General features: G+C 39.4%; 1 long non-coding RNA gene across 1 annotated transcript in view, besides 3 other annotated features; it reads left to right on the top strand.

Annotated features, from left to right (window-relative positions):
* Nucleotides 539-588: an enhancer, noted in NCBI's record as "active region_2297". NCBI's record gives its function as "activates an Ori minimal core promoter by ATAC-STARR-seq in GM12878 lymphoblastoid cells {active_cell/tissue: GM12878}" and the evidence as "EXISTENCE:reporter gene assay evidence [ECO:0000049][PMID:35858748]".
* Nucleotides 6,088-7,287: an enhancer, noted in NCBI's record as "BRD4-independent group 4 enhancer chr1:200343201-200344400 (GRCh37/hg19 assembly coordinates)". NCBI's record gives its function as "activates an origin of replication core promoter dependent on BRD2, P300/CBP, MED14 and CDK7 cofactors, and independent of BRD4, by STARR-seq in HCT116 cells {active_cell/tissue: HCT116}" and the evidence as "EXISTENCE:reporter gene assay evidence [ECO:0000049][PMID:35650434]".
* LINC00862 (long intergenic non-protein coding RNA 862) overlaps nucleotides 7,568-11,270 on the top strand; it is a 31,249-nt gene continuing 27,546 nt past the window's right edge. The window contains exons 1-3 of the long non-coding RNA NR_040064.1: nucleotides 7,568-7,713; nucleotides 8,191-8,267; nucleotides 10,195-10,314. This is a non-coding gene — a long non-coding RNA (long intergenic non-protein coding RNA 862). The remainder of the gene's footprint in view (nucleotides 7,714-8,190; nucleotides 8,268-10,194; nucleotides 10,315-11,270) is intronic.
* Nucleotides 8,684-9,214: an enhancer, noted in NCBI's record as "H3K27ac hESC enhancer chr1:200341274-200341804 (GRCh37/hg19 assembly coordinates)". NCBI's record gives its function as "activates a minimal SCP1, AML or CMV promoter by ChIP-STARR-seq in primed H9 embryonic stem cells {active_cell/tissue: H9 hESC(primed)}" and the evidence as "EXISTENCE:reporter gene assay evidence [ECO:0000049][PMID:30033119]".

Below are 11,270 nucleotides of genomic sequence, written 5' to 3'. Positions count from 1 at the left end.
AGAGAAGCACATTTTCCGTTGAAAGCCAATGTGAATGTCTCCTTGACCCCGGGTCTCAACAATTTTTGAGCAACATAGGTATGATGGTTTAGAAAAAGCTTGATAGATTAAAAAAAAAGATTCTGTAAAATTAAAAATTTTTCCTTTGAAGAATTATTGATAAAAGCATGCATTTGAAACAATATAATTCATATATATCAGTAATAAAATGGGGTCTATTTGAGTTTACTAAGCATTAGCTTAGCAATAGCTACATTTCTCTAGACAGATTTCTGAGTTGCTATGAATATTTGATCTCAAGACAATGAAACCTGTAGAAATTAGTAGTTCCTTTTTCCTTTTCAATGCTCTGTATACCAAACAAAAACTGTCACCTTTCATGCATAAACATTAATGACCAGTATCTGTGAGCGCAAAGCCTGTATATTCAAGGTTAAAACTCATTCCCTGCACTATTTGGGGAGATGATTAACTCTTCTTGGTAGCAGACCAGAAGCAAGTGGGGCAGCCCCCACCTCTTCATCTTTCTGTGGAGATCTGTAGGGTTGTCTACAAAACAGCTGCTCCCCACATGTACTGGGTGTGAAAAAATCCATTTTTGAGAAACAAACATCAAAACAAAGGCCTCATAGCTGTGTATTTTTCTACCTTTGGGTCCAGGATCCAAAGTCCATATTGAAATGGCTTACTTGCCTTCCAGAGCACAAGGGTGGCTGCAGGAAGTAGACCCAGAGGTTTTCACAAACCAGGTCTTCCCTGGAAATAGTAGTAGAGGCTCGGGACCCAGATCCCCATGGAACCACCTGGCTGGTTTCTTTAGGGGAGGGCCTGAGCCAGGAGTTTTTCAGGGGCAGAGCCATGTGCCTTTCTGATCCGACTATATTCTGGGCTTAGGTGAATCTATGTTGACTTTGGAGTGGTCAGAGGGGTTGAAGCAAAACTGGCATGGATATTCTGCTGGTTGTCAAATGTTGGGCAAGTGTCCTGCTCATAATTTTTAAAGGACAAATATTTGAAATGAGCTAGCTATTTTAGATAATTTAAAAATTATTTATGTGCTGGTTTATTGTATAGAAAGGAATATGAAATATTGTACATAACTTAAAAAAAGATTAAAACAAGCCTGGCACAATGGCTGGCACCTGTAGTCCTAGCTACTGAGGAGGCTGAGGTGAGAGAATTGCTTGAGCCCAGGTGTTCGAGACTGCAATGAACTATAATTGCACCACTGCACTCCAGCCAGGGCAACAGAGTGAGACCCTTTCTCTCTCTACATATAAAACAGTAGATCAACATTACAAAATGTTAAAAAGAGAAAAAACACCCATAATACTGCTATTCCATTTTTCCTCTGTGCAAATATATTTGAACATGGTTATATTCATAATGCACATATATCATCTGTATTCTGCTTTTCAATTTAATATCATCCTCTATTTTCTGTATATTGTGACAGTCTTCATAATTTATTTTTAATGATAATATAGTATTTCATTAGAAACATGTACTATAGCTAACATTTTTCTGATTATTGGGCATTTAGGTTGATTCATATTTTGTAGTGAACATCTTTTCTTTTGGATCATTTCTTAGGATCAGTTTCCAGCAATAAGATTACTGTGTCAAAGGAAGTAGACATTTTTATGACTGATACATGCTTTGCAAAAGGTTTGGCCTTTTTCTTTGCACAACTTTAAAGGTGAATCATCAGCCATGAGCCAGTGCTTACATTTTTGGACAGTTAATTATTATTCCCATATTAGGCAGAGAGAGAAAAGCTCTGTGCACATCTGATTTTCTTCTTATTGCTTTCATTATATAGAGCTGACGTGTTGAGAAAAATGTCCTGGCTGTGAGACATTCCAGACAACAGAGCCATCACTTTGGAAAAGTTTGGACCAATCCCAATTTTGCAATCAGCTCCCAGAGTTTTTCATATTTCTTTTGGCAAAGATATCTGTCGCTGTGGTCAAATGCAGCTGAATGGTTAAAGTCACAGCGTGAGCTGATCAAGGTGCCTATTTTAGTATTAGGTTGGCAGTCTGTGGCCAGGTGTCTGGGTATTTTGAGAGAAGTAATTTTGTAAAGTAATTTGCAATTCTTAACTGTGAACAGTGCCAGAAGAGTTATATGCAGGTTTTCTGTGGAGATTCTCTCTCTCTTCCAGACCAATTGGAGGATAATCATTGGTTTCCGAAGAAAACACACTGGGCCGGGTGCAGTGGCTCATGCCTGTAATCCCAGCACTTTTGGGAGGCTGAGGCAGGCGGATCACCTGAGGTCGGGAGTTCAAGACCAGCCTGGGTAACATGGTGAAACCCTGTCTCTACTAAAATTACAAAAATTAGCCAGGTGTTGTGGCATCCACCTGTAATCCCAGCCACTCAGGAGGCTAAGGCAGGAGAATCGCTTGAACCCAGGAGGCGGAGCTTGCAGTGAGCTGAGACATGCCATTGCACTCCAGCCTGGGTGACAGAGCAAGACTCCATCTCAAAAAAAAAAAAAAAAAAAAAAAAAAAAAAAAAAAAAAAAAAAGAAAACACTGATTGCAGGGAAATTAGGACACCTTGGTCCTTGCTGAATGTGTCACAGTGTCTGTGCTTTGCAGCAAATTGCTTGACTTGAGTTTTTTCCTTCTAAGAAGCAAAGATATTGGAAACAGGAGTGCCAAAATCCCTAAAATTTTTTAGGTTCTTTGTCCGTTGGATGATTCTAATTGCATGCCCATTTTTGTAGCCAAGGATGTAATTTCCCTATTCATTGGGGCTTCTGTCAGGCAACAATGGAAAAGAATAGGATGTGAAGCACAAACCTATCTTTATAGTTTGTCATTTCTACCAGAAGATATCATGGCATATATAATTAAAACCAATGGCAAAAAATTATTTTGACTACCTGTGGCTTGAATGTACTTACTCTATCCCTGCTCCTCATGAATATGTTAAACATAGAAAAAAAAATAGCATTCACTCTTGCCCAGCAGGTTAAAAGGAAGTCAATCTATTCTGTGGAACTGGTCTTGAATTTACCGACCATTACTTTATTTGCTGACTGTAAAAATTCTAGCTTAAAAAATAGCACTCTCAGCAACATCATTTTCAAACATGAAGGCCAACAGTATTTTATTTAGCATAGCATTTTGAAAATCTAATGGCAATTTGGTAAGAAAAACTTAGGCCAGTTAGGGGAGGAGTAAAAATGAAAGTGGAAATAACATTCATTTTCTTTTTGTATTTTGTATTTTTATTTTTTTGAGGCAGTCTCATTCTGTTGCCCAAGCTGGAGTGCAGTGGCGCGATCTTGGCTCATGCAACCTCTGACTCCTGGGTTCAAATGATTCTCCTGCCTCAGCCTCCTGAGTAGCTGGGATTACAGGCGTATGCCACCATGCCCAGCTAAATTTTGTGTTTTTAGTAGAGATGGGGTTTCACCATATTGGCCAGGCTGGACTCAAACTCCTGACCTGAAGTGATCCACCTGCCTCAGCTTCCCAAAGTGCTGGGATTACCGGCTTGAGGCACTGCACCTGGCCATTTTCTATAAACTCTCTGAAATTAATTTTCATTTAGTCTGTTATAAAAGTAGTTATTCTCATTTTTCCCTATGAAGGCATAGAATCAGTAAAGAGATTTATAATGAAGCTATGTGGTCACTTCAATGCATATCTTTGTAGCTGCCTGTAGAAGAGTTTTCTATTGACTGTGGAAACCCCTTCATAAGAAACAGGGTGAGGGTCACTCTAGCTGAGCTTGAGTAGTTTACTTAACCTGTCTGTTTCCAAACTGGTAAAATGGATTGTGGTGAAGATTAGAGCTGATACAGTTTAAGCACCCAGCTGCCCTCTTGCAAGTGAGGATACTATACTTAGAGAGGAACCCAGTCCCAACCTCTCCCCAGGGAATAGCAGCAGGAGAGTGCTGGGTTGTAGACCAGTGTTGAGACTTGTAAATAGTCTTTGGCACCATAGGGCCATGTGTATTCACTCATCAAATTCAGCCGTGTGTGTGTGTGTGTGTGTGTGTGTGTGTGTGTGTGTGTGCGTGTTTGTGACCCTACTCTGAGCCAGGTACTGTTTCAGGTATTAGGGATACTGCTGTGAATAAAACAGAGATGCTGCCCCTGCTGATGGAGACAAGTAATAAGTAAAGAAACATAGATGGAGATCTGTGCTATAAAGAAAGAGCAGAGAGCAGGCATGTTGGCTCATGCCTATAATCCTAGCACTTTGGGAGCCCAAAGTGAGAGGATCACTTGAGCCTAGGAGTTCAAGACCAGCCTGGGCAACATGGTGAGACTACTTCTCTACTTAAAAACAACAACAACAAACAGAGTATGGAGATAGAGAGTGATCAAGTGGGAGGGAATTGTTTTGGATAGGACTTTCAGATCAAGTAAGGTCAGATCAGCCTCTCATCAGAAGACACTTGTAGCAGAGTGCTTACTAAGGAAGTGAAGGAGCTCTGAGTTTGTCATATGAATATTGGGAAAAAGAATGTTCCAGGCAGTGAAAACAGCATGAGCAAAGGCCCTGAGGCAATAGCATACTTGATGTGTTCCACTAAGGAGGGCAATGTTGTGCCTGGAGTGGAGTCAACAAGGAAGAGATTAAGCTAGAGGCTGAGGTCAGAGAGATGGGTGAGGTGGCCAGATCATATGAGGCCTTGTAAATCAAGATAAGGACTTTCTTTGGCTTTTGAGTAAAATGGGAAACTATAGAGATTTTTAAGCAGAGGAGTGACATCATCTGACTTCAAAGGAGTTTTTATAGTGTGTTGTGGGCTTTTATAGGCTCAGGCAAGAGGTGGATAGGGTGGATGGGGAATAGATCTTGTAGAGCTGAGTGTTCCAATATGGTGGCCTCTGGCCACAAGTGGCTACTTAAATGTAAATTAATTAAAATTTTAAAAATTAAAAATTCATTTTATCAATTGCACTAGCCACATTTCAAATGCACAGTAGCCACATGTAGCTAGTGGCTACTGTATTGGACAGTGAGATGTAGATCATTTCCATTGCCACAGAAAGTTCTACTGGACAGTGCTGGTAGGGTATTAAAGGTCTTTGTAGGGACTTCAGCTTTTACTCTGAGTAAATAGAAAGCCATTGGAGGGTTTTAAGCAGAGGAGGAACATGCTCTGACTTATGATTTCGAAAGATCACTGTTGAGAATAGACTGTAAGGGGGCAATGGTGAAAGTTGATAGACCATTAATAGTCTAGATGAGAGATGACCATGTCTTCGATGAGGGGGTAGGAGTGATGATGATGATAAATTATTGGATTTTGGATATATTTTGAAGGCAGAACCAATAGGCTTTTCTGATGAAAATGATGTGATATGAGAAAAAAATGACAAAAAGGTTGTGGGTGATGATGAGAGAAGAGAATACAAGGCCAAAGAGAAGGGATTTCCCTTGTTGTGGAGGAGTCTCACTCACCTTGAAGCAGGAGGGAAAGCAGGGATCTGGGTGGAAAAAGATCTAGAGAATCCTCATCTAAGCAGAAGATGAAGGAGTAAAGAGAGAAAGATGGGTGTATTGGAAGCTTGCGGGTGATGGAGAAAGTTTCAAATAATTCTTGGAAAATAAGTTGAAAAAAGAAACGTAACACAGTTGTTAGAGCAGGGCATGATTGCTTGTGCCTATAGTCCCAGCTACTTGGGATCCTGAGGCAGGAGGATCTCTTGAGCCCAGGAGATGGAGGCTGCGTTGAGCTGTGTTTATGCCACTGCACTCCAGCCTAAGCGACAGAGCAAGACTCCATTTCTTAAAAATAAAACAAAAATGTAGTTGTTAGTATTGAGGGCCCATAAGAAGTTGGTGATGATGAACCTATCTACGCTTTTGATCACCTCCAGCAGAGTTTGACTGTTGCGTGCAAGCAAAGAGAAAGGAGATGGCGGGGTTCAATGAGGGCTGTCGTTTTCCTAGATAGGTTTGTAGAAAAAACAGAGAGGAAGGGAGTTTAAGGGATTGGCAAAAAGGATATAGTAATAACAGACCATGGAATAAAAATTGAGTAAGAAGGAAAGTGAAAACAGCTGAAGGCTAATGAATTGGGAGAAAGCAGATGGATCAATAGACTGGAGGCCCCAATATTTCTAAGAGCAGTTGGAGTTGTTGTCATGCAAGTTGGAAGGAAAGATGCTTATCCAAAAGCTGAATGCCTGAATCAGTAATCTTGCGGCAGAGCTATTGTAGGTGATGACAAGGTCAGTCCTTTGAAGTCTATGCATATATATCTTCATTATAGGCTGACTTGCCAAGTCTTAGAATTTTTACAATATAACCTCACTGTGGATCTCATCTAAGCAGGTTTGGTAACCAAAAGCTCAAGAGCGTGAGATTGAGACCCCAGAGAGCTCATAGCCTGTCACAAACCAGCTGTGTAACCACGGACCTTGAGGAAATGAACCTTATGGTCCCTTCCGTCTCTAATCTGTGACTCCATAGCCCCATTATAATATAGCCTTTTCCCAAACACTGACCTTCAACATAGACCCTGGGGGATTTTTCTATTAAAAATTTGCAACTCTGCACATTTTTATCTGCTGATGCCTCTTGGAATATTAAATGCTTAGAAAGCTGTCGTCGGGATCACATTCTGGAATCTTGACCATGTAGTCATCTGAGTGGGTGTGACAGGAAGTATACACCAGCAGCATTTGTGTCTGAGTGTCCTTCAGACACTGGGATGGCTGCACCTTTACCCGTCCTCTCCAACTCTCTCCACCTAGAAAGTATTCTTTTCTCTTAATTTTGTTAGAGTTATATAGGAATGCTCCTTCAGCAGAAATGACAGAGGCTGTTGCTCTCAGAATCAAATGCAATAATGTGACCTGTAAATTCCTGTGAATATTTGGATATTTTAGCGATATTTGTTTATTCAGAAGAGATTCTGGATGCAGAACTCTCCTCCTCTCTGTTCTCTAACCCTGCTTTCCACCATCATTCTTCTCTCTCTAGGGCACAGAGAGAATTAAGAACAACCTAAGGTAAATTTTTAACAAGATGGTCTAGCTTGAGCTCTGTAGGCTTGACTGATGAAATAAGTAGTAGTTTTTTGCTAAAATAACCACATTGTTTGCAAAAGTTTTCTCCTTTGAGTTTTCTAGGGTCATTACAATGATCTAACTGCCTTACCTGCTTTTGAACTGGTTGAGCCTCTTGTGGGACCGAAAACAAAAGAAGGGTGTTGAAATGCAAATAGATAACTCTGGGTCCCAGTCCCTGACTGCAAAAGGAAGCCAAAACTGACAACAACGTCTCCTTCTCTACGGAGGTTTGTAGAAAGGCTGTACAAAAATCTCACAAGATGTATTTCTTCTCGTGGACTGGAGTCCCAAGGTAGGTAAGAAAAACAAAAACAAGATAAAAACAAACAAAGGATTCCGTACTTGGAATTTGCTCAGTACCAGTTGAATAGCTAATTGTTTCTTGTGTTCTTCCCCTCCCCCCTTTTTTTCTGCCTGAATAGATAATCCTTACAAAACATCTATTCATTCTACAAGTGAAAATTTCAAGAATATTCTATACTGACCTTGGCAAGAGTAATGGACCGAGATTGAGTGATGAATTTGTGTGTGTTGTGGCTGATGTGCATTTTGGTGCTTTGTATGCAAGTTTAAGAATATCTTAGCAATAGGAAAGGAAGATTTATGGCAGTTTAATTAATGAATATAATGAAGGCTAAAACTTGTAGATAAATTTATAAGGTACACAATTATTTTTATAGCTTATTTTTAGCACAAAGGTGATTGTATTTTGTTGCTTTAAGAAAGGACCTCTTGATAATACTGGCGTGTTTTATATTTCAATGTGACCAGTTTAACTGATATGCAAACAATTATTTTTTAAGGGAAATAAAATGAGGCAGTAGTACAACTTAGCGAAGAGGACACTGTGGCAGATTCTAACGACTAGATTAAATTTGAGCTCTTATTTGGCTTTTACTACCAACTGACTGCATAACTTTGGGTCAGTTATTTGGCTCTTTTTTTTTTTTAATTTACAAAATTAGAATGAGAACTACAGATAGTGAAAATATTTGGAAAAGCTTTTTGAAGTCCCACGTGAAAGGCATCAGAAAAAAGAGTTGGGTGATTTTTTTTAATGGGAAATAATCTGATATTGTCAGTAAACCTAAATTTTTTGTATATTAATTTATTTTTTAAGCTGTTATTTAATTTCAGGTGCTTAAGAGCTCTTCAATTTGTTAATGGAAAGAAACACCATTTACACCGGATGGCTACAAAGCAACCTTATTCTGGTAAAATAATCTCTTAAATCCTTATATACACAGTCACTAACTGTTGGCTTTATAAGGTCAGTAGTAGCAAAACAGCCCTGTGGCAGTTAGAAGCTCAGCATGTCCAAGATAGCACTAACGGGGAACAAACACAAAAAACAGCAAACAGTTTAAACAGTACCATTTGATTTGAATTTAACCCAATCTTAAACAGAGGACTCTAAAAAAACAATTACCAGCAAAGTTACATTAATTAGGGAGATCATTAGGTTGTATCAATGCAGTTTAGCTATGCCTTTTAAAAAGTGAAGATGGACTAGAAGCGGTGGCTCATACCTGTAATTTCAGCACTTTGGGAGGCCAAGGTGGGAGGATCCCTTGAACTCAGGACTTTGAGACCAACTTGGGCAACAAAGTGAGACCATCATGTCTACAAAATTTTAAAAATTAGCTGGGTGTGGTGGGGTATGCCTGTGGTCCCAACTATTTGGAAGGCTGAAGCAGGAGGATCGCTTGAGCCCAGGAGGTCAAGGCTGCAGTAAGCCATGATTGTGCTACTGCACTCCAACCTGGGCAACTGAGTGAGACCCTGTCTCAAAAAAAAGAAAAAGATTGAACTTGCAGGCCAACATTTATTTCTGACTATTGACTACTTTTGAAAGAGAAAGCTTTGGACACTAACATTCTAGTCTCAGAGGCCTCAAAGAAGCACAGCCCTGTAAAGAAGAAAATTCTGCTGGGATTAGCAAGAGCCTCAAGGTTTTGGGAACTTGGAATGCCAGGCTCAGTGTTCCGAGTTCCAATGTTGACTCTGCCTGTGAGTCACCCTGAACTAGTCACTCAGTCTCTTGTGTTTCCCCCTTTAGAGAAGAGCTAAGACTATTGACTTTTCAGGAGTTGCAAAACATGTTACAAAAGGATAGGAAAGTACTATGCAAACATGTAAATATCATGAAATATTGGGGGGGTACATTTTAATAAAGATAAGCTGCATTCTTCTGATAATTGGAAGTTGATAATCTTTATGTAAAGACAGGGAGATTGATTTCAAAATAGAGGTTAATGCTTGAAATTTTAATTCGAACAGTGTAAATTTGGATCATTGTTTGCTCTGTTAGTCGATGTTGCTTACTGAAAGGAAACTCTTAACAAGTTGTCTTACTAGAATGGCTTATTTTCAGAGTCAGACCCCCAGGCTTTCTAGAAATGTGTATTAAAATTTAGTAACCTCACTTTCAATTGTTGAGTATAGGACACTGTGGTTGGGTTTCTATATATGTTGTAAACAAGCCAAATACACAAAGTGAACTCTCTATGGACCTTAAAAAAGTCTTAAAAATTTTTTTTTGAGGATATTGAATGAGGCACCTATTTTATTCCTTACTTTTGCAGGATAGCTTGTCAGTGCCAGCTTGGGTTTTTGAATTCTGACTTTTTGCTGGCCATGATTTGGCTGTCTCATTAATAAGACAAACCTTTCTAAAGTGGAGCTCATTGTTTTTTAGTTCTTTTAATGGTGTGGCTAGCCTCTCATTGTTAAAGAAAAGAAAGAATATAATTTTTATTCTTCGTTCTTTCTGGCAACTTTATACCCTCTACTAACCCACCCAGTCCTGAAATCCTGTTAGTTTTTCCATCTGTGACTAGCATCTCTCTTCTGATTCCCAGTAAACGCTACTATATTCCCATCATTCAAAATTAACAACTGTTATTATTTTTGTCATATCTTCTTCAATTTTTTTAAAGAAATAAAACAAAACATTGATGATAAAATCAAGTTGCCTTTGAATATTAATTCCAAGTCCATTTCCTCCTTCTGTCCTCACTTCCCAGAGCCCATGTTCAGTTTGTATACTTTTTAATATTTTATATATATTTGTATGTACCCATAGTTAATATGTAGTATTGTTTTATGGATTTAAATATACATAAATGTTTTCTTTTTTAGAGAGAGAGGATCTCATTCTGTCACCCAGGCTGGAGTGCATGATCATAGCTCACTGCAGCCTCGACCTCCTGGGCTCAAGTGATCCTCCTGCTCCAGCCTCTCAAGTAGCTAGGACTACAGGTTTGTGCCACTATGCTTGGCTAATTTTTTTTTTTTTTTTGTAGAGATGGGATCTTACAATGTTGCCTGGTCTCAAACTCCTGGCCTCAAGAGATCCTCCCGCCTCTGCTTCCCAAAATGCTAGGATTACAAGTATGAACCACCATGCCCAGCCAACTGTTATATGATTTGTTTACTTTCTCTGAGCATTGTTTTTAAGGTCTAGCCATGTTTTTGTACAGACACACACACACGTGCACACACACACACACCCATCTATATATATATATTCATTATTTTTAATTGCTGTCTAGCATTTCTTTTCTTTCTTTTTCTTTTTTTTTTTTTTGAGAAAGACTCTCGCTCTGTCACCCAGACTGGAGTGCAGTGGCACGATCTCAGCTCACTGCAACCTCTGCCTCCCGGGTTCAAGCAATTCTTCTGCCTCAGCCTCCCAAGTAGCTGGGACTACAGGCGCCTGCCACCAAGCCCGGCTAATTTTTGTATTTTTAGTAGAGACGGGGTTTCAACATATTGGCCAGTCTGGTCTCAAACTCCCGACCTCAGGTGATCTGCCCGCCTTGGCCTCCCAAAGTGCTGGGATTATAGGCATGAGCCACCACACCCGGCTATTTGCTGTCTAGCATTTCATGGCATAAATAATACCACATTTTATCAGTCCATTTATTAGTGAATATATGATTGTTTATATTTTTTTCACTAATATATAGGCAATAGTTTCTTAGTCTTGATTCCTAGATGCAGGATTGCTACATTTTGAATATGCACAATTTAACTTTTAAGAGATATTACCAAATTGATTTTCAACTGTTGGAAAACTGTTTCCCCAGATACTTTCCAACACTTGTCAGACTTCTTAATCTTTGCCAATTTTAGGGGTAACAAATGGTTTTCCCTGGGCTTTCTAGCTTTATTTCAGTTCATCCTATTCATAGTTGCTGGCCTAATCCTTTCTA

Source organism: Homo sapiens, chromosome 1, assembly GCF_000001405.40.
Source record: "Homo sapiens chromosome 1, GRCh38.p14 Primary Assembly".
Classification (NCBI taxonomy): Eukaryota; Metazoa; Chordata; class Mammalia; order Primates; family Hominidae; genus Homo; species Homo sapiens.
The sequence above is the reverse complement of the archived record's forward strand: the minus strand, read 5'-3'. Positions and strand labels throughout refer to the sequence as shown.